Raw genomic sequence first — 23735 nt, 5'->3', positions numbered from 1 at the left:
ACCTGAGCCCAAGAGGCAGCAGTTGCAGTGAGCCAAGACTGCACCACTGCACTCCAGCCGGGGCAACAGAGTGGGACTCTGTCTCAAAAAAAAAATTGATTGGTTGTGGGTGCTCTAAAATGTTTTTAGACACATTTCTCATGGTTCCACTCAAATGTCACTTCATCCAAAAGGCATTCTTTGATCCCATCTCTGAATTTTATTGGGATCTCTCTCTGACTACTCAATGTTTTAGTTATCTGTGTATGACTTAGCTCCCTTATTGGAAGGCAGGAGCTATGCTACACATTATCATGCACACAGTATCATACTCACTAAATATTTATTTAATGCATCAACATTTTTATGGCAAATATAACTCAGATAAGTTAAACTCAGATGGGCCTAAAAATTAATGATAATAGCTATGTGTTCTGCATACCTAGTAGAGCTTGTTCATGACATGCTTGGGTTGAGAGGACTTTTTTTTTTTTGAGACAGGGTCTCATCCTGTCACCCAGGCTGGAGGGCAGTGACATGATCATGGCTAGCGGCCTCAACCTCCTGGGCTCCAGTGATCCTCCTGAGTAGCTGGGACTACAGGTACATGCCACCACGTCTGGCTATTTTTTTTTTTTTTGGGGGGGACGGAGTTTCACTCCTGTTGCCCAGGCTGCAGTTCAGTGACACGATCTCGGCTCACTGCAACCTCCGCCTCCTGGGTTCAAGCGATTCTCCTGCCTCAGCTGGGATTACAGGTGCATGCCACCATGCCTGGTTAATTTTTTTTGTATTTTTAGTAGAGATGGGGTTTCACCATGTTGGCCAAGCTGGTCTTGAACTCCTGACCTCAGGTAATCCACTTACCTCGGCCTCCCAAAGTGCTGAGATTACAGGCGTGAGCCATCACGCCTGGCCAATTTTTTAATCTTTGTAGAGATAGGGTCTCACTATGTTGCCCAGGCTGTTGAGAGGACTTTTGCACAAACCTTTTTAGAAATATGAGTTCATCTCTAGTATGAAGTGGAGATTTTCACTATTTTCCTTTGGAGTATTTGTAGAAATCCCACTTTTCTTTTTTTCCAATTTAAAATGATATCAAATTAGGAATTAAAAATACAAATATATATCATCACTTTAACATTATAGTCGTGCATTTAAGAGCCAGGGATAGGGCAGGAGGAGCTACAGTGCTAGGAAACAGAATAACAAGAAGGCCTTTAGGGTATATTACACAGTCACATTCATGCTTTCAAACACACACACACAGATGCACATACACACTCTCAACACACACCTTCACACTCACATATACACATACACACTCACACACATACACACACACAGGCAATCCTACCTTTGCACCATTTCATCTTTTTTTTTTTCCTTTTCTGGAGAATGGGGTCTCGCTGTGTTGCCCAGGCAGGTCTCAAACTCCTGGGCTCAAGCAATCCTCCGGCCTCTGCCTCACCAAGTGTTAGGATTACAGACATGAGCCACTGCACCCGGCCTTTTCAAACTTTTTTTTTTGAGATGGAGTCTTGCTTTATCGCCCAGGCTGGAGTGCAGCGGCGCAATCTCGGCTCACTGCAACCTCCACCTCCTGGGTTCAAGCGATTCTCCTGCCTCAGCCTCCCAAGTAGCTGGGATTATAGGCGTGTGCCACCAGGCCCGGCTAATTTTTGTATTTTTAGTAGAGACAGGGTTTCATCATGTTGGCCAGGCTGGTCTCGAACTCCTGACCTCAAGTGATCCACCCACCTTGGCCTCCCAAAGTGCTGGGATTACAGGCATGAGCCACCACGCCCGGCCTCCTGTTGCTAGCTCTTCAGCTCAAAGATCACAATATAAATGACAGATGATCATCATGATTAGTGACAAATCATGTCATACCTTCCAAAGTCAATCAGTGACTGGTCACTGTGAATCTGTTATTCATTTCACACACAAACAGCAACGTATATAGTTGTGTTGCATTTTTGTCTCCCAATGATAAACCCATGTGACATTTTACAAAAATGGAAAATCAAAAGAGGGAATTCCCCGTCAAAGAAACAAAAAGTGGTACCCCTTGAAGTGAAATTGGAATCAATCATACATGGAGTTCTAGAAGAAACAGGTGACTGTGGGAATGCTAACACTGCCATCATTCAAGACGTTGCAGATCTACAGCTAGAGGAACTTGGTGAGGATGAACTTATCAACATAAATGAGGAAAGTGGCTATGATAAAAAGATGAAGCTTTCCCAGTGGAAGTGATGCTGGCCAAAAAAAACTTCATACTGAAGGAACTCTGAGATATTTTGCAACATTTAAAGTGCAAAGAATAAAATGTTGGCAGCTGATCCAAATTTTAAAAGGAATATGACAATACATCAAGACATAGAAAAGATGCTTATAAGTTATACTAGAAGAACAAGAAGGCAAGCACTGTTTAAAGTACTCTTGGTAAGTTATTTTTTCACAGCTTTATTGAGGTTCACATACCATACAATTCACCATTTAAAGTGTACAATTCAATAGTTTCCAGTATATTCACAGTTGGTAAGATATTTTATGAAGAAACTAAACACTTTGTCTATGTTTCTAATGTTTTAAATTATAGTGTACTAAAAGTGTTCTAAATGTGTTGGGTTTTTTTCTTTCATTTTCCTATGTATTTATAACAGACAGCAAAAGAGTTTTTAATGTTTTGACAAAGAAGCTTGTTTTGTTTTGTTTTCAGAGATGGGGTCTCACTATGTTGCCTGGGCTACCCTCAAACTCCTGGGCTTAAGTGATCCTCTTGCCTCAGCCTCCCAAGTAGCTGGGACTACAGACAAAAAGTTTGAAAAGTCACAGGACAATCACAATTTTCCCCACAAATTATTAAGTTTGCTTTGCATGGTTTCAATTTGCTGGTCATTTTTATGGTCCTGCACTGCCATGCAAAGTAAGGCTGGGTATTTTTTTTCCTGAGTGAAGTAGTAAAATGGGTAAATATCATAGATCTGTCAATCATCTGCTCTGCCACTTATCAGATCTGTCTGTGACCTCAGGCAAGTTTTTTTGAGGCTTGTTAAACTTCATTTTTCTCATTTGTAAAAAAGGTCACAGAATTTACAAACTTGAAGATGAAAGAAGATAACACACATGTAAAGTGCTAAAGACAGTGCCACACCCGTATAAGGACTCAAACGTCAACAATGATCTTATCTCTCTCTTCCAGTATGTCTATCTGGGGACTCCTCTCTATGACATTAATCCTTGACATGTTCACAATCTGAAAGTATGTGGTCTTTGTCCTTAGCAAAGATAGTTGGCATTTCCTGGTTCACTTCCCTAAACTCACAGTCTAAGACTCTAAAAGAAAGAAAACATAATTGGGAGTCTCTAAGGCACTGCATTAATTTCATGTTTCACACTGAAGCAAATGAGTGAATAGTTAAGGCTGTATACAGACATATCTCAGAGATATTGTGGGTCTAGTTGCAGACCATGGTAATAAAGTGGATATCACAAATAGAGTCATGCTAATTTTTGGTTTCCCAGTGCATATAAAAGTTATGTTTACATTATACTGTAGTTTAAGTGTGCAACAGCATTATTTAAAAAAAAATGTACATACTTTAATTTAAAAATACTTTGTTATGGCTGGGCATAATGGCTCATGCCTGCAATGCCAGAACTTACGGAGGAAGAGCTGACAGGATCACTTGTGCCCAGAAGTTCGAGACCAGCCTAGGAAACATAGCAAGATCCCATCTCCACAAAAAGAAAAAAAATACTTTATTGCTAAAAAATGCTAATGATCATCTGAGCCTTCAGTGAGTCCTATTCTTTTTGCTGGTAGAGAGTCTTACCTTGATGTGGATGACTGCTGACTGATCAGGGTACTGGTTGCTGAAGACTGGGGTGGCTGTGGCTTTTTTTTTTTTTTTTGAGACAGGGTCTCACTCTGTTGCCCAGGCTGGAGTGCAATCATGGCTAAAGCAATCCTCCCACCTCAGTCTCCTGAGTAGCTGGGACCATAGGGGCATACCATCACACCTGGCTAATTTTGGGGTGGGGGGTAATTTTTGTAGAGACAGGGTCTCCCTATATTGCCCAGGCTGGTCTCAAACTCCATCTTCAAGAGATCCTCCAATCTCAGCCTCCCAAAGTACTGGGATTACAGCCATGAGCCACTGTGCCCAGCTCATGAATGTTCTCAATAGCATCTAGAATGGTGAATCGTTTCTGGATTTTTAAATTTTACTTTACCCAGATCCATCAGGGGAATCATTGTCTATGGCAGCTATAGCCTTATGAAACATATTTCTTTTTTCTTTTTTTTTTTTTTTTTTTTTGAGACAGAGTCTTGCCCTGTCACCCAGGCTGGAGTGCAGTGGTGCAATCTCGGCTCACTGCAAGCTCCGCCTCCTGGGTTCACGCCATTCTCCTGGCTCAGCCTCCCAAGTAGCTGGGACTACAGGCGCCCACCACCACGCCCGGCTAATTTTTGTATTTTTTAGTAGAGACGGGGTTTCACGGTGTTAGCCAGGATGGTCTCGATCTCCTGACCTTGTGATCCACCTGCCTTGGTCTCCCAAAGTGCTGGGATTACAGGCCTGAGCCACTCCGCCCGGATAGATTTAGCATAATTTTTAAGGGCCCTAAAATTTTCAGAATGGTAAATGAGAACTGGCTTTAAGTTAAAGTTACCAGCTGCATTAGCCCCTAACAAGAGACTCAGCCTGTCCTTTGAAGCCAGGCATTGACTTCTCCTCTCTAGCTGTGAAAGCCCTAGAGGGCATCTTCTAACAGTATAAGGCCATTTTGTCTACATTGAAAATCTGTTGTTTAGTGCAGCCACCTTCAACAATTATCTTAGTGAGATCTTCTGGATAACTTGCTGCAGCTTCTCCATCAGCACTTGCTGCTTCACCTTGCACTTTTATGTTATAAAGACGGCTTCTTTCCCTAAACTTCACGAACCAACCTCTGCTAGCTTCCAAAGTTTCTTCTGCAGCTTTCTCACCTCTCTGATCCTTCATAGAATTGAAGAGAGTTAAGGCCTTGCTCTGGATTAGGCTTTGGTTTAAGGGAATATTGTGGCTGGTTTTTCTTTTTTTTTCTTTTTCTTTTTTTTTTTTTTTTTGAGACACAGTCTCACTCTATTGCCCAGACTGGAGTGCAGTGGCGCAATTTCGGCTCACTGCAAGCTCCGCCTCCTGGGTTCACGCCATTCTCCCGCCTCAGCCTCCCTAGTAGCTGGGACTATAGGTGCCCGCCACCATGCCCGGCTAATTTTTTGTATTTTTAGTAGAGACGGGGTTTCACCATGTTAGCCAGGATGGTCTCGATCTCCTGACCTCGTGATCCGCCCACCTCGGCCTCCCAAAGTGCTGGGATTACAGGCGTGAGTGGCTGGTTTAATTTTCTATCCAGACCACTAACACTTTCTCCATATCAGCAATGAGGCTATTTTGCTTTCTTATCATTTGTGTGTTCGCTGGAGTAGCACTTTTAATTTCCTTCATAAATTTTTCCTTTGCATTCACAACACGTTTAACTCTTTGGTGCAAAGGTCTAGCTTTTGGCCTATCTCAGCTTTTGACATGACTTCCTCACTAAGCTTCGTCATTTCTAGCTTTTGATTTAAAGTGAGAGGCGCATGACTCTTTCACTCGAACACTTAGAAGCCACTGTAGGATTATTAATTGGCCTAATTTCAATATTGTTGTGTCTCAGAAAATAGAGAGACCAGAGGGGAAAGAGAGAGATAATGGAATGGCTGGTTGGTGGAGCAGTCAGAACACATACATTTATTGGTTAAGTTTGCCATCTTATATGGGCTCAGTTTGTGGTGCTCCAAAACAATTACAATAGTAACATCAAAGATCACTGATCACAGTTCACCATAACAGATATAATAATAATGAAAAGATTTGAAATATTGCAAGAATGACCAAAACGTGACACAGAGACACAAAGCAAGCACATGCTATTGGAAAAATGGCACTGATAGATTTGCTTGATGCAGGTTTGCCACAAACCTTCCATTTGTGAAAACACAACATCGGCCAGGCGTGGTGGCTCACGCTTGTAATCCCAGTACTTTGGGAGGCCGAGACGGGCAGATCACCTGAGGTCAGGAGTTTGAGACCAGCCTGGCCAATATGGTGAAACCCCGTCTCTACTAAAAATACAAAAAAATTAGCTGGGAGTGGTGGCACATGCCTGTAATCCCAGCTACTCGGGAGGCTGAGGCAGGAGAATCGCTTGAACCCAAGAGGCAGAGGTTGCAGTGAGCTGAGATTGCGCCATTGCACTCCAGCCTGGGCGACAAGAACGAAACTCTGTCTCAAAAAAAAAAAAAGTATGTAACTCAATGGTTTTTAGTATATTCACAATGTTGTGCAACTATCACCACTGCCTATGAATATTTCAGAATATTTCCATCACCCCAAAAGAACCCCCAAATTCCTTAGCTCCCTACATATAAAAAGCCATATATCACATGATTTCCTTTATATGAAATATCCGGATTAGGCAAATCCATAGAGACAATGCAGACTGGTGGTTTATGGGGCTGGAATGATGCAGGAATGGAGAGTGACTGCTTACTGGATGCAGGGTTTCCTTTCGGGGTAATGAAAAGGTTCTGGAACTAGATGGTGGTGATGCTTGCACAACCCTGTGAATGTACTTAATGCCCCTGAATTGTACACTTTAAAATGGTCAATTTTATGATGAGAACACATGGACACATAGAGGGGAACAACACACACTGGGACTTACCAGAGGGTGGAAGGTGGGAGGAGGGAGAGGATCAGGAAACATAACTAATGGATACTAGGCCTAATACTTGGGTGACAAAATAATCTGAACAACAAACCCCCTTGACACGAGTTTACCTATATACAATAACAAACCTCTACATGTACCCCTGAACTTAAAATAAAAGTTAAATTAAAAAAAAATTTTAAAAGAAAGTTCTAGTGCTTGGGCATCCGAAAATAAGTTTCATTCTATAGAATATATTTGAAAAATAAAATAAAATATAATACAATAATAAATTTTATATTGTGTTATATTTTACCATAATAAAAAAGTATGATTCTATCTTCTTGGATGACAGAGTTAGGAAGACTTGCTGGGTTTGTTTGTTTTTCTAAATCTAAATTCCTTACTTGTACATAATCTTGCATGGTGACAACATCCATTATATCAGTTACTTTGGACTTCGGGAAAATACGTTCATCTTCCATAATTATACGGTGAAATTTCCTTTCCCCCATTAGTTTGCAAGCATCATCCACTGCCTGTAAAAAGAATAGAAAATAGACTTTAAAAATAGTAGAATAGCATTAATGATCAGCACGCCCTTTACATATTTCTTCTGACAAATACATCAAATATTGTTCCTTTCTTCTAGCAGCTTGCTATTCAATAGAAAGGCTGCATTTGCAAAGAGATTATATAGGGATTATTAAACCACTTAAAATTGTTTCCATAGCCTTATCTACATAGGTTTTTTTTTTTGAAACGGAGTCTTGCTCTGTCACCTAGGCTGGAGAACAGTGGCGCCATCTCAGCTCACTGCAACCTCCACCTCCTGGGTTCAAGCGATTCTCCTGCCTCAGCCTCCTGAGTAGCTGGGACTACAGGCGCATGCCACCACACCTGGCTAATTTTTTGTATTTTTAGTAGAGACCAGCTTTCGCCGTGTTAGCCAGGATGGTCTCGATCTCCTGGCCTCGTGATCCGCTCACCTCGGCCTCCCAAAGTGCGGGATTATAGGCGTGAGCCACCGCGCCAGGCCATCTACATAGTTTTTAAATGCAGCTAGAGGAATTGCTGAGTCCAGAATCCTCAGAGAACATAGTTTTAAAACAACTGGTTTTTCCCCTTAAAAGACTTTTAATTCTTTTATTTTGAAAAGCAAAACAAACCTGTAATATCATTCGTGCAGTCAATGCAGAGAAAACTTATCTGGTGATTCAACGAGTTACCGTAGGAACTGCAATGAAAGGTGTCACTAGTACCACCTCTCTTTTATGTGTTAATACACTGCTGGTAAGTGGAAACATGTATGTTTCAGACTGTTTAAGCCTCCCTCCCTTCAGACTTCATTCTCAGCAGCTAAAAAGTGGCAAATAGAGGGGTTTTCTTTTCTCTCCCAAATGTCAACATTTTATGCTCAAGGAAAGCACCTGAGAGGTCAGAGACAGAAGAATCACAGAATATATGGAAGCTCAAATCCTGTTGGGCCCTACTTATACCATACCCTTCCACATATAAGTATCCTGTGCTAAGAGCTATACATAGACTGTGAGTAGAGACTTAAGTACTCTGCACCCCCGCCATAAGTATGTGCTGACTCTTCTAACACATATTTATATTACAGATCTGTACTTCTGGCCACAAAGGGTATGTTTATATGAAGGGAAGGATAGCACAAAAGAAAATTCAGGGCGGGCGTGGTGGCTCACTCCTGTAATTCCAGCACTTTGGGAGGCCGATGCAGGTGGATCACCTGAGGTCAGGAGTTCGAGACCAGCCTGGCCAACATGGTGAAACCCCGTCTCTACTAAAAATACAAAAATTAGCCAGGCGTGGTGGCAGGTGCCTGTAATGTCAGCTGCTCGGGAGGCTGAGGCAGGAGAATCGCTTGAACCCAGGAGGCGGAGGTTGCAGTGAGCCGAGATCATGCCACTGTACTCCAGCCTAGGGGACACAGCAAGACTCTGTCTCAAAAAAAAAAAAAAAAAAAAGAAAAGAAAAGAAAAGAAAATTCAAACATCTTTTGATTCCAGTTAAGTTTCTTTCTTCCTTTGTATGTCAGAATGCGGTATTTGTGAAAGTATGGGAACTCTGTTATAATGTTGATACAAGGCCTAAAAGAGTGGTTGAGGCCAGGCACGGTGGTTCACACCTGTAATCTCAGCACTTTGGAAGGCCGAGGCAGGCGGATCGCCTGAGGTCAGGAGTTCGAGATCAGCCTGGCAAACATGGCAAAACCCTTTTTCTACTAAAAATACAAAAATTTGCCTAGCATGGTGGCATGTGCCTGTAAACCCAGCTACTCGGGAGGCTGAGGCAGGAGAAATGCTTGAACCTGAGAGGTGGAGGTTGCAGTGAGCTGAGATCATGCCACTGCACTCCAGTCTGGGTGACAGAGTGAGATGCTGTCTCAAAAAAAAAAAAAAAAAAAGAGAAAAGAAAGAGTGGTTGAGACAGGATCAAAACTGAGAATCACTGTTCTTTTTTCTTAACACACAACAGCAAGCTATAATGCATTTTCTATTCCAATTCTCACTTTTGTTATTCAGACTATTCCTTTATTTATTTTTTTAAATTCCAAAGCTTAGAATATCACAGACACATGTAGAAAATGAAAAAGGAAGAAAACATTCAAATGGTTGAATGGTTGAAGTTTTATTCCTAACGTATAGAACTGAAGAGACAAACAGTTTAGTGAAAATGTGATATGGAGCTTTCCTTTAGGTAGATCATTTTTGCTTTATATTTCATTAATTTCTTCTTTTTTTTCCAGCATGCTATTTTATTGATGTAACAACATTTTCAATAAAGTTGGTAAATTATCACTATATTACTGTCTTATAGCAACATAGTAAGAGCTCTAGAGATTGTATAAGCATAAAATGTGAATTTAAAAAAACAATATGTAGGATTTTTATCAGGGCAAGCATTTCCATAACCATAAATATTTCCCTTTTTTTATTATTACACTTTAAGTTTTAGGGTACATGTGCATAATGTGCAGGTTAGTTACATATGTATACATGTGCCATGTTGGTGTGCTGCACCCATCAACTCGTCATTTAACATTAGGTATATCTCCTAATGCTATCCCTCCCCCCTCCCTCATCCCCACAACAAATTTCTTTATACATTACACAACTAAAGAAAAGATAGGCCGGGTGTAGTAGCTCACACCTGTAATCCCAGCACTCTGGGAGGCCAAAGCAGGTGGATCACCTGAGGTCAGGGGTTCGATTCCAGCCTGGCCAACATGGTGAAACCCCGTCTCTACTAAAAAACACAAAAATTAGCTAGGCAGGGTGGTGAGCACCTGTAATCCCAGCTACTTGGGAGGCTGAGGCAGGAGAATCGCTTGAACCCAGGAGGTGGAGGTTGCACTGAGCCGAGATTGTGCCACTGCACTCCAGCCTGGGCGACAGAGTGAGACTCCACCTCATAAATAAATAAATAAATAAATAAATAAATAAATAAAATAAAGATAGTATTGGCAAATCTCTCCATTATGTTTTCTTGCAATTAATTTCCAACATTTTATGGTTCTAATTAACCAGCCCCACAGTGACACTAAAGGTAAAAACAAGTAATTGTACACTGAACAGGTATGAAGACCATATAATTTCTGCTTTAGGAATTTCTGTAGGCATAACTATAATTTACTTTAGCTGAAGTTACTAAAAAAGGGTTTTTAAAATTTTTATTTTTATTTTTTGAGACGGAGTCTTGCTCTGTCACCCAGGCTGGAGTGCAGAGGTGCCATTTCGGCAGACGGCAACCTCCGCCTTCTGGATTCGAGCGATTCTCCTGCCTCAGCCTCCTGAGTAGCTGGGACTACAGGCGTGCACCACCATGCCCAGCTAATTTTTGTTTTCAATAGAGACGGGGTTTCACTATGTTGGCCAGGCTGGTCTCGAACTCCTGATCTTCTGTTCCACCTGCCTCGGCCTCCCAAAGTGTTGGGGTTACGCCCAGCTAATTTCTGTATTTTCAGTAGAGATGGGGTTTCACCATGTTGGCCAGGCTGGTCTCAAACTCCTGACCTCAGGTGATCTGCCTGCCTTGGCCTCCCAAAGTGCTGGGATTACAGGCGTGAGCCACAGTACAAAAGGTATTTATTTAGGGTTTTTTTTTTTTTTTCTGAGACAGAGTCTCCCTCTATCGCCCAGGCTGGAGTGCAGTGGTGCCATCTTGACTCACTGTAACCTCTGCCTCCCGGGTTCAAGCAATTCTCCTGCCTCAGCCTCCTGAGTAGCTGGGACTACAGGTGCGTGCCACCATGCCTGGCTAATTTTTTTTTTTTGTATTTTTAGTAGAGACAATTTCGCCATTTTGGCCACACTGGTCCTGAAATGACCTCAAGTGATCCGCCCACCTTAGCCTCCCCAAAAAGGTATTTATTGACAGGTCCTCCCTACACTGCCCCACTCAGCCACCACCACCAATCTCTCCAAGACCCAGTTTCCTTATGTGTGCAGTGCCTCAGTTGTGTGCCTCATCTGTGTCTGGCCCATTCTGGTCCCTCAGCCAAAGAAAAACATGCCTGGCAGCATAGGGCAAGCTCTCTGCCCACCTGTGAGAGGGGTTTGAGAAATGTTTGCTGTCCAATGGCCAAGATGTTCTTTCTCAGACATCTGCAGTGTATGGCCAAAGTCAAGAAAGTCCTTCTCCATAGGAAGCAATGGGAAAGAAGAGCCTAGAGCCAGGAGAAAAGCAAGGGCAAAAACTAGGCAAAGATTCCAGGATACCAGCCAATCAGGGTAGGATTCAAGAGGCAGGTTCTGTTCTTAGTGGGTGACTCAAAGCGTCAAAGCGGGCCATCTCTAAATCTGGCACTTATCCTGATACTCAGCATCTCTGTGGCCAGAAGCCCCCACAGCTCTGTGGCTATTTGCTGGCCTAGATCCACACTTGGGCTTGTAAAGCTACTCTAGTATCTCAAGACACTTTCCTGTTTCTACTGGGAACTGTCACTCATGGAAGAGGTAATAACTGGTATCCATGCATTGGAACAGTTTCTTGGTTTGGAACAGTCCAATTACATACAGGTTCAGAATAAACAAAACCACCATAACTGCATGGTTGTTTTAACCTCAAAATGTACATAGTACAGTGGAAACACAGAGAAGTGTTCAAGTCTCAGTTATGCTCCTGGCAAGTCTTTCCAACTTCTAGCTTCCTAATAGGGAAAATGGGAATAATGTGTCCCTAACCAGAGTTATTGCAGGGCCATCTAAGAGAATGTGTATGCTGCTGTTTAGCATAGTTCCTAACTCTCAGGAGTGGTTAAGAACTGGGACTTTGGAGGCAGGCTACTAGGTCTTGATCTCGGTTCCTTCATTTTCCAGGTGTGAGACCTTAGGCAAGTTAGTCTTTTTTGTTTGTTTGTTTTTGTTTTTGTTTTTTTGAGACAGACTCTCACTCTGTCACTCAGGCTGGAGTGCAGTGGTGCAATCTCGGCTCACTGCAACCTCCGCCTCCTGGGTTCAAGCGATCCTCCTGCCTTAGCCTCCCGAGTAGCTGGGATTACAGGCACGTGCCACCGCGCTTGGCTAATATTTGTATTTTTAGTAGAGATGGGTTTCACCATGTTGGCCAGGCTGGTCTCAAACTCCTGACCTCAAGTGATCCGCCTGCCTCGGCCTCCCAAAGTGTTAGGATTACAAGCGTGAGCCACAGCACCCGGCCCTCAGTCTTTTTTAAAATGAGGATAATAACAGAAAATACACTGTAGTGTTTATGATAATTAAATAGAGTAATGTGCATAAAATGTTTAAGATCATATTTGATAGAAAGTGCTCAGTAGGCTCAGCACTTTGGGAGGCGGAAGTGGGCAGATCGCTTGAGGCCAGGAGTTCGAGATCAGCCTGGCCAACATAGCAAAACCTCCTTTCTACTAAAAAAAAATGCAAAAATTAGCCAGGCATGGTGGCACATGTCTGTAATCCCAGCTACTCAGCTGGCTAAGACATGAGAATTGCTTGAGCCTGGGAGGGGGAGGTTGCAGTGAGCCAAGATTGCGAGATGGTGCCACTGCACTCCAGCTTTGGCAACAGATTAAGACCTTGTCTAAAAAACAACAACAACAACAACAAAAAACAAAAACACAAAAAACAAAAACAAACAAAAAACACAAAGAGACAAAGAGCAACAGAGTTGAGTAAGCTTAGAGTGAGAAATATTCCATATTTACAAGTTTTCTATCAACCATGAATCCAAGTGTTACCAGAGTTTGAAGCTGAACTAAAGGGAAAAAGGAACCTTAAACTGTTCAAGTTGGGTATGTTCTGATCATTTAAAACCCGTTATGATGTTTAGTGAAAAATTCAAGGTCAATAATATGACCACACTTTTATAATAAGAACAAAATTTAAAAATCTCTATGTGTGTATTTTCATGGGAAACATGAAGGATACACAGCAAACCATTAACAATGACTACCCCAGGAGAGTGAAAGTTGTAGCACAGAAGATAAAGGCACGGAGGCATATTTTTCTATCTGTGGGCTAATTTAAACAAAAATTTAAGTTATTATACAGCATTATGATGGGTTTTAATGCATAAGCAGTGATTTCCAATCACTGCCTCTAAGGTTCTCATTTGCTCAAGCCTGTGTACAGCAAGGGGGTGGCAGGAGTAGACCCAGGAGGATTTCAGTTCTTGAAAAAGCCTCATTATATAATCCTAGGAAAGAAACAATTGATGATATTTTATAGGGGTAACTACAAGCTTATTCTATACATAAATGTGGCATAAATTTATCCTTCAAGTAGGATAAACATATACTTCCACATTTGAAGTTGATCTATATAAATATTAATGTTCTTGAAACACCATATTCCATAATGAAAACATGTAGCTCATTTTCTAGGTGTTTTTTTTTTTTTTTTGGACGGAGTTTTGCTCTTGTTGCCCAGGCTGGAGTGCAATGGTGCAATCTCAGCTCACTGCAACCTCTGCCTCCTGGGTTCAAGCGATTCTCTTGCCTCAGCCTCCCAAGTAACTGGGATTACAGGCGCCCACCACCACACCCGGCTAATTTTGTATTTTAGGTAGAAACGGGGTTTCACCATGTTGGCCAGGCTGGTCTCGAACTCCTGACCTCAGGTTATCCTCCCGCCTCGGCCTCCCAAAGTGCTGGGATTACAGGCATGAGCCACCGAGCCTGGCTTCATTTGATAATTTTCTGAAATAAAGTTAAATTTTCTCTGATACTACCTGAGAACATGGAGAAAAGTGGTCCCTTTTCCTTTTCTAAAACTCTTCAGAGTCAATGCCGCACATGCAGGATCTGATCAGAAACTGCCAGGCTGTGTGGTCTTCTCTCCTGCATACATGCTAGAACTCATGATTTAAGATGGGCCACAGTTTTTGTGTACATTTCCAGAAGGGGGATCTTGCCAGGGTTACAGAAAAATAACCTTTGATATGTGGTTTATAAATGGCCAAATATGAGAATGTCCATCTTTTTAAAACTTAAATATAGTCATGTATAAGGGTCCAAGGAGTAAAACCTGTACTGTAGAGCCTTGCTATTAAAAGTGTGGTTTACATCACAAGCCTATCCGGATTTGCCACCTGCTGACTGTAGAGCCCTTGGGCCTTGAGTAAATGGTAGCCAGGCAGTGGTCACTGTGGGCCTTGGGAGAGACCCAGTGCTATGCTTGCTTCAGGTCCGACCCAGTGCAGTCCCAGTGGTGGTGGTGGCCACAAGGGTGCTTGTTTTACCCGTCCCCCAGCTCCAGGCTGCTCAGTACAGAAAGAGAGAGATTCCATTTATTGGGGGAAAAGTAGGGAAAGAGAACAAAAGTCTCTGCCTGGTAATCCAGGGAATTCTTCCGGATCTTAGCCAAGAACAACAAGGCAGTACTTCTACAAGTCTGCAAGAGCCACAGTGTTACTGGGCTTGGGGTGCCCCCTAATGCAGATATGGCTGCAGTGACCAAAGATTTAGATCACGACACCTGAGTCCCTTTGAATACTTGGAAAGCCTTTTCACGAAGGACAGGTTACAAACAAGCGCAGACTGTAAAGACTACAGTAAATACTACGATACCTAACTCTTCGATGCCCAGACATTGGCAAACATCCATAAGCATCAGGACCATTCAGGAAAACATGACCTCACCAAAGAAACTAAATAAGGCACCAGTGATCAATCCTAGAGAGACAGAGGTATGTAACCTTTCAGATAGAGAATTCAAAATAGCTGTTTTTGTGTTCATGTTCTGACGTAAAAAAACAAAAAACAAACAAAATAGCTGTTTTGAGAAAGCTCAACAAAATTCAAGATAACACAGAGAAGGAATTCAGAAACCTATCAGATAAATTTAACAAAGAGAATGAAATAATTAAAAATAATCGAGCAGAAAGAAATTCTGGAGCTGAAAAATGCAATGGACACACTGAAGAATGCATCAGAGTCTCCTAACAGAGGAACTGATCATGCAGAAGAATTAGTGAACTTGAAGATAGGCTATTTGAAAATACACAATTAGAGCAGACAAAAGAAAACAAATAAAAAAGAATGACTCATGCCTACAAGATCTAGAAAATAGCCTCAAAAGGGTGAATCTAAGAATTATTGGCCCTAAAAAGGAGGTAGAGAGATAGATCAGGGTAGAAAGTTTATTCAAAGGGATAACAGCAGAGAACTTCCCAAATTCAGAGAAAGATATCAATATCCAAGTAAAGAAGGTTACAGAACACCAAGCAGATTTAACCCAAAGACTACCTCAAGGCATTTAATAATCAAACTCCCAAAGGTCAAGGATAAAGAAAGAATCCTAAAATCAGCAAGAGAAAAGAAACAAACAACATACAAAGGAGTTCCAATACGTCTGGCAGCAGACTTCTCATTGGAAGCCTTACAGGCTGAGAGAGTGATGTAACATATTTAAAGTGCTGAAGGAAAAATAAAAACTTTTATCCTAGAATAGTATATGCAGTGGAAATATCCTTCAAACATGAAGGAGAAATAAAGACTTTCTCAGACAAAAGCTTAGGAATTTTGTCAATAACAGACTTGTCCTACAAGAAATGCTAAAGGGAATTCTTCAATCTGAAAGAAAAGGTCATTAATAAACAATAAGAAATCTGAGAGTACAAAATTCACTGGTAATAGTAAGTACACAGAAAAACAGTATTATAACATTGCAATTGTGGTGTGTAAACTACTCATATGTTGAATAGAAAGACTAGAAGATGAACTGATCAAAAATAATAACTACAATAACTTTTCAAGACATAGACAATACAATAAGATATTAATAGAAAAAACAAAAAGTTAAAAAGTGGGGAGATGAAGTTAAAGTGCAGAGTTTTTATTTGGTTTCTCTTTGCTTGTTTGTTATTTTTTTGTTTGTTGAAGCAATCTGTGTTAATCTGTCACCAGTTTAAAATAATGGGTTATAAGATATTGTTTGCAAGCCTCATGGTAACCTCAAATCCCAAAACATACAACAGATACACAAAAAATAAAAAGCAAGAAATTAAAACATACCACCAGAGAAAATCACCTTCACTAAAAGGAAGGCAGGAAGGAAGGAAAGAAGGAAGAGAAGACCACAAAACAACCAGAACAAATATGAAAATGGCAAAACTAAGTCTGTACTTCTCAGTAATAACATTCATGTAAATGGACTAAACTCTCCAATCAAAAGATATAGAGTGGCTGAATGAATTTTAAAAAAAGTGTGGTTTCGAGGTCAGGAGATTGAGACCATCCTGGCTAACATGGTGAAACCCCATCTCTACTAAAAATACAAAAAAAATTAGCCGGGCGTGGTGGCGGGAGCCTGTAGTCCCAGCTACTCGGGAGGTTGAGGCAGGAGAATGGCGTGAACCTGGGAGGCGGAGCTTGTAGTGAGCCAAGATCATGCCACTGCACTCCAGCCTGGGCGACAGAGCGAGACTCCGTCTCAAAAAAATAAAATAAAATAAAATAAAGTGTGGTTTATGGACCAGCAGCAGCGGCAGCATTTTAACAAGATTCCCAGGTGATTCCTATACTGTAGACACAATTTGTGGTGAATATTCATGAAACTTAAAAGTATGATGAGAGTGCCAGGTGTGGTGGCTCACGCCTGTAATCCCAGCACTTTGGGATGCCGAGGCGGGCGAATCACCTGAGGTCAGGAGTTCGAGACCAGCCTGGCCAACATGTTGAAACCCCGTCTCTACTAAAAATACAAAAATTGGCCAGGTGTGGTGGTGCATGCCTGTAATCCCAGCTACCTGGGAGGCTGAGGCAGGAGAATCACTTGAGCCTGGCAGGTGGAGGTTGTGGTGAGCTGAGATCGCACCATTGCACTCCAGCCTGGGCAACAAGAGCAAAACTCTGTCTCAAAATAAATAAAGAAATAAATAAGTATGATGAGAATTCATGTGAAAAAAGGATAAATATTTGAAAGTTCATTTTCTTTCTTTCTTTTTTTTTTTTTTTTTGAGATAGAATCTCACTCTGTTGCCCAGGCTGGGGTGCAGTGGTGCGATCTCAGCTCCCCACAACCTCTGCCTCCAGGGTTCAAGCAATTCTCCTGCCTCAGCCTCCTGAGTATCTGGGATTACAGGCATGCACCACTACGCTTGGCTAATTTTTGTATTTTTAGTAGAGACGGGGTTTCACCATGTTGGCCAGGCTGGTCTTGAACTCCTGACCTCAGGTGATTCGCCCGCCTTGGCCTCCCAAAGTGCTGGGATTACAGGCATGAGCCACCGTGCCTGGCTGAAAGTTCATTTTCAATAGCATAGTCCAGACCATTTTTTTTCTAAATGTGCTACCAGAATCAAAGAAATAATAACATTCCATTAAAACAAATAAAATGGCATTAAATTAAATGTTCTGCATAATTTAAGAGCCCTGACCAATTTTAGTCTTTTTTTTTTTTTTGAGACAGAGTCTCACTGTGTCGCCCAGGCTGGAGTGCAGTGGTACGATCTTGGCTCACTGCAGCCTCCACCTCCTGGGTTCAAGTGATTCTCCTGCCTCAACCTCCCGAGCAGCTGGGATTACAGGCATGTGCCACCATACCTGGCTAATTTTTATATCTTTAGTAGAGATGGGGTTTCACCATGTTGGCCAGGCTGGTCTCAAACTCTTGACCTCAGGTGATCTGCCCGCCTCGGCCTCCCAAAGTGCTGGCATTACAGGCATGAGTCACTGCGCCTGGCCTAGTCTATTATTAACAAATAAAAATTTTAATACATAAAAATGGATGGATATTTTCTAGAGCCTTAATTAAGTAATTCACTCCAAATGTCTTTTTTTTTTTTTTTTTTAGCTAGTAAGTGGAGACACTTTGAAACATGGTGCTTAAAAAAAAACACACTACCTACCTGGTGGGCTGTTTCATGGTGAAATAACTTATTCTGTATAATTTGAATGCAATTCAGATACTATGTAGATGTTAAAAAGCTAAGTTAACATAAAATGTACATCATGAAACGTCACCTTACTTGACGGCATTAATACATTTTTTCCACTAAAATACTTGTAACCATGGCCATCAGTATGAAGAAAAATTTTAAACACGATGAAAGGTGGAAACGTTTCACCTCTAAATCTGAAATAAAGATAAAAATTTAGTTATTTGGCATCAGGTTTTGGGCTCAGTTGCTTTTCCCCCTTATACTTAAGATAGTTCATATAGTTTCTTGCATACAGGGTAAAGGCTATGTCAGAGCATGTAAAGAATTGGTAATGAAATGGATCACATAGGATGTAAGACCCACACTTTGGTGTACTCACAACTATTCTCATACCTGTGTAAGACTGAATACAGAATGGGAGATGAGAGCTACTCTCATGGCAACTTTTAGCCACAGAGTCATGCCTCGGTTTCTTCACATAACAAATGTAAATAAGAATAACACATTTACTTTGTAATTAAGTTCTGAGAAGTTACAAGAATTTAAAAAATCCATATCTAAGATTTCCTCATATTAACTAAGTACTTCTTGAAATAAATCAGCATAGATACATTACCTGAATCTAATTTTACACTGCATAGTAGGATCCTTAATAAGCTTAGCCTCTAAGGGGGCCACTTTCTTCAGTATTTCATGTGTTACATAGAATTCCTGAAATAAAGGACAGTGCTGTAAAAGGAAAGCAGTATCCCACCCAGACACAATTTATGGACTATAACAGAGGCAACGTGGTAAAGTGAACATTATGCTGGACTTGGAGTTCTGAAGGGGTGGGTTTTTGTTTTGGCACCTCCACTTACTATCTGTGTAGCCTTGAGCCAGTTACTTAATCATTTTGGCCTCCAACTTTGGTTATCTGTCCCTTTTAGAGATCAAAGGCACTATTATTTCCCTATGACAGCACTTTTCACAATATATTATAATTACTTATCAACTTGTCTGTGCCTCCTACTAGACTGTAAGCTTCATGAAGGTAGGGATGGTGGCTTTTCTCTTTACCACTATATTCCTAGCATCTAATACAGTGCCTGGAACACAGCAGATGCTTAAGAAGTATTTGTTGAATGAATCACTGTAAGATGAGGATGATAATAGTAATAAGTTACTAGCTTTTAAGCACCTTTTATGTACCATATACTACTATGTTAGGTGCCTTATATACATTAGCTCATTTAATCCTTACATCAGCAACACTATGAGAATTTTTTGTTTGTTTTGAGACAGAGTCTCGCTCCGTCGCCCAGGCTCGAGTGCGGTGGCATGATCTCGGCTCACTGCAACCTCCGCCTCCCAGGTTCAAGCGATTCTCCTGCCTCAGCCTCCCGAGTAGCTGGGACTACAGGCACCTGCCACCACGCCCGGCTAATTTTGTATTTTTTCAGTAGAGACGGGGTTTCACCATATTGGCCAGGCTGGCCTGGAACTCCTGACCTTGTGAGCCGCACGCCTCAGCCTCCCAAAGTGCTGGGATTACAGGTGTGAGCCACCACTCAGGCTGCAGTGCAATGGCATGATCTCGGCTCACCGCAACCTCCACCTCCCAGGTTCAAGTGATTCTCCTGCTCAGCCTCCTGAGTAGCTGGAATTACAGGCATGCGCCACCATGCCTGGCTAATTTTGTATTTTTAATAGAGATGGGGTTTCTTCATGTTGGTCAGGCTGGTCTCGAGCTCCCGACTTCAGGTGATCCACCCGCCTCAGCCTCCCAAAGTGCTGGGATTACAGGCGTGAGCCACTGCACCTGGCCCATTATGAGAATATTATCACGCCTATTTTACAGATGAGAAGGCTGAGGCTCAGGGAATTTTTGTAATTTATAAAAAGGCATACAGGTAGTGAATGGGGAAGCCAGGATTCATTTAGTTCTGTTTGACTCTAAAGTCCCAACTCTTTCCCCCAAACAACCCCAACCAACCCCGTTATGCCTATGATAATCACATAAAAATGTACACTAAAGAGCTTTTAGGCTGGGCACTGCGGCTCACGCCTATAATCCTGGCACTTTGGGAGGCCAAAGCGGGAGGATCACCTGAGGTCAAGAGTTCGAGACCAACCTGGTCAACATGGTGAAACCCCATCTCTACTAAAAATACAAAAATTAGCCAGGCGTGATGGCAGGCGCCTGTAGTCCAAGCTATTTGGGAGGCTGAAGCAGGAGAATCGCTTGAACCCGGGAGGCAGAGGTTGCAGTGAGCCGAGATCGTGCCACTGCACTCCAGCCTGGGTGACAGAGCAAGACTCTGTCTCAAAATAAATAAATAAATAGCTTTTAAAAGGACAAAGCATTATTAATTTAAGGTATTAAAGTATTACTATAACAGATAAAAAAGAATTTCCTTCTGTTACAAAAGTCTAAAAATACTATGAAACCAGCATTATAAAATTAAATACAAGTTCCATATTCAAAGACAATGGATAATAGACCTGAAATGCCAGGAGTTTACCTGGGTGGGTTTTCTCTGAAGTATTCAGACGGAGTCTTGCTCTGTCGCCCAGGCTGGAGTGCAGTGGCTCAAACTCGGCTCACTATAACCTCCACCTCCCCGGTTCAAGGTAGCTGGGATTACAGGCGCACACCACCATGCCCGGCTAATTTTTTTGTATTTTTAGTAGAGACGGGGTTTCACCATGTTGACCGGACTGGTCTCGAACTCCTGACCTCAGGCAATCCACCCGCCTCGGCCTCCTAAAGATCCCAGCTCACGCTGGGATTACAGGTGTGAGCCACTGTGCCCAGCCGTATTCTGCTTTTACTGACATCAGAAATAGGTCTGTGGGTCAGATGGTGAACGGTGTATACATTGCTCAGACTTTATTATTTTTTTCAGAGCTGCTAAAATTCCCTTAAGAGTATCACTAATTGGCCGGGTGTGGTGGCTCACGCCTGTAATCCCAGCACTTTGGGAGGCCAAGGAGGGTGGATCACCTGAGGTCAGGAGTTTGAGACCAGCCTGGCTAACATGGTGAAACCCTGTCTCTACTAAAAGTACAAAAAAAAAAAAATTAGCTGGGCATGGCGGCACGCACCTGTAGTCCCAGCTACTAGGGAGGCGGAGGCAGGATAATCACTTGAACCTGGGTGGTGGAGGTTGCAGTGAGCCAAGATCATGCCACTGCACTCCAGCCTGGGCAACAGAGTGAGACTTCATCTCAAAAAAGAAAAGAAAAAAAAGAGTATCACTAATAATAGACTACTGGATTTATAGGTTGTTTTATTAGAATATTTGGTACTATGCCAAGGAAGGCTCTGCTAGGGTTGCCAGAGTTGCTTTCTGGAGGAGGGGGGATATGCACCTTTTTTTTTTGGTTTTGGTTTTCACTCAAGTAGGATCATGCTCTTCATACTGTCTGGTGCTTGCTTTTTTAACTGATGAGCTATCTTCATTTCCTTTCTATTGCAGAATCATGTTAAAGCTGCAAAGTTTAACACTATAAAAGCAGCAACACTTATTTAACCAGCATCATATCAATAGATATTATACAGTTTACTCCCTTTGCTGTTACAAACAACGGTGCAATCAAATTGTGTATGTATTGTAGAACAGATTCTTAGAAGTAAAATTGCTGGATAAAAGGTAAGGGAACTTTTAATTCAGAGCTTTTTGAAGGGGGACAGAGTCTCACTGTCGCCCAGGCTGGAATGTAGTGGCGCAATCTCCGCTCACCATAACCTCCACCTCCTGGGTTCAAGCAATTCTCCTGCCTCAGCCTCCCAAGTAGCTGTGACTACAGGCTCATGCCACCACGCCTGGCTATTTTTTTGTATTTTAGTAGAGACAGGGTTTCTCAATGTTGGCCAAACTGGTCTCGAACTCCTGGCCCTCCCTGCCTTGGCCTCCCAAAGTGCTGGGATTACAGGCGTGAGATGCTGCACCTTGCAGATTCGGAGCTTTTTATTGTTGGAAGAGAACTGTCTCACATTTTCAAATAAGGAATCAAATTTAAAAACAAAACAAGGCAAGCAGTATATTAATTTCAGAAAAAAGTAATAGTCATCCACATTTTAAAAAATCCAGAAATACTCATCTAGGGCTAACAGAAGAAACAATTCCAGAACTCCACGTGATATTATTAGATCCAAATAGAAGAGATAAAGAAAGGGCCGGGCGTGGTGGCTCACGCCTGTAATCCCAGCACTTTGGGAGGCCAAGGCAGGCAGATCACGAGGTCAGGAGATCGAGATCATCCTGGCTAACATGGTGAAACCCCATCGCTACTAAAAATACAAAACATTAGCCAGGCATGGTGACAGGTGCCTGTAGTCCCAGCTACTTGGGAGGCTGAAGCAGAAGAATCGCTTGAACCTGGGAGGCAGAGGTTGCAGTGAGCCAAGATTGTGCCACTGCACTCCAGCCTGGGTGAAAGAGCCAGACTCCCTCTCAAAAAAAAAAAAAAAAGAGGAGATAAAGAAGGTTATCTATTCGATCTTTAATTAATAGATCTTTTAGCTTGATAATTAAATCCCTCAGAGAAAAAAATAAGCAAAATACATACCGCTGCACAAATTGCGTGTTTTAGGAGTCGAAATATCATTTTGTTTGTATGAGATAACCAAGCCCTCTGTATTATTTGAGCTGAAATGTCTTTAAGCATTCTGAGAGAAAAAAAGAGGTTAATATTTATAAAGTAGTTTTCATTTTCCTAAAACCTTAGAGAACTATCAATTTATGCTTCCTCCTCCTGTACCTCCCCATCCCCCACTCTAAGACTGACCTAATGAGGAACATTTGGATGTGGTAATTGGAAGTGGTCATTTGCAGAATCTACTCAGAATGAGGATATGAAATACTTGAGGAGATTTCCCTTGAGATTAAAAAAAAAAGTCCTGGCCAAAACTTTGTCATCAAAAGGCATATAAAATATAAATATATCATTAAGAGGCATGTATATTATAAATAAAAAGTATGAGGAGACAAGCTTACTTCCCAAAAACATTCACGACCTAAAATGAAACGTCCAACTAGTTCAAGTGCTATGAAAATGGAATGGGGAATAGTCAAAGTTACAGGAGGCCCAGTTCTCTTCTGGGGGTGGATGACTATGCCCTAGAAAAAGAAACTTCCTTCTCTGATCTTTGCTTGAACCAGGCTCATCCAGGTCAAGTCGGAATTATTCTACTTTTGATCATATCCCAGCACTGGCAGATTGTAGGGGTCTCCTCCTTCATACCTTCTCACCCCATCATTACCCCTTACAGCGCTATGTACAAAGACAGGTACTCCTGCATAATGCTACCCATTGGCTGGCAAAATGCAGGCTACAAGATATAAAGAAGAAAAGGCTAGGCCAGACACAGTGACTCACGCCTGTAATTCCAGCAGTTTGGGAGGCCGAGGCGGGTGGGATCACCTGAGGCCAGGAGATCGAGACCAGCCTGGCCAATATGGTGAAACCCCGTCTCTACTGAAAATATAAAAATTAGCCAGGCGTGGTGGTGCATGCCTGTAATCCCAGCTACTCGGAAGGCTGAGGCAGGAGAATCGCTTGAACCCAGGAGACAGAGGTTGCAGTGAGCCGAGATCGCACCACTGCACTCCAGCCTGGGTGGCAGAGTGAGACTCTGTCTGAAAAAAAAAAAAAAA

At 42.0% G+C, this 23735-nt stretch overlaps 1 protein-coding gene across 4 annotated transcripts in view; it reads right to left on the bottom strand.

Annotated features, from left to right (window-relative positions):
- CXorf58 (chromosome X open reading frame 58) overlaps window positions 1–23735 on the bottom strand; it is a 31578-nt gene that overhangs the window by 5006 nt on the left and 2837 nt on the right. For 3 of the 4 annotated variants that reach the window (XM_011545473.3, NM_152761.3, NM_001169574.2), the window contains exons 3-6: window positions 22648–22747; window positions 18710–18804; window positions 18176–18287; window positions 7134–7265 (exon numbers count right to left, since the gene is read on the bottom strand). In XM_011545473.3, coding sequence (XP_011543775.1) covers window positions 7134–7265; window positions 18176–18287; window positions 18710–18804; window positions 22648–22747 — 439 coding nt within the window. Of the gene's footprint in view, window positions 1–7133; window positions 7266–18175; window positions 18288–18709; window positions 18805–22647; window positions 22748–23735 lie in introns of those variants that run through there. The other variant, XM_011545474.3, reaches the window with a different exon arrangement.

This window comes from Homo sapiens, chromosome X (genome assembly GCF_000001405.40).
Source record: "Homo sapiens chromosome X, GRCh38.p14 Primary Assembly".
NCBI lineage: Eukaryota > Metazoa > Chordata > Mammalia > Primates > Hominidae > Homo > Homo sapiens.
Note: the sequence above shows the minus strand (reverse complement) of the source record. Positions and strands in the feature narration are given on the sequence as shown.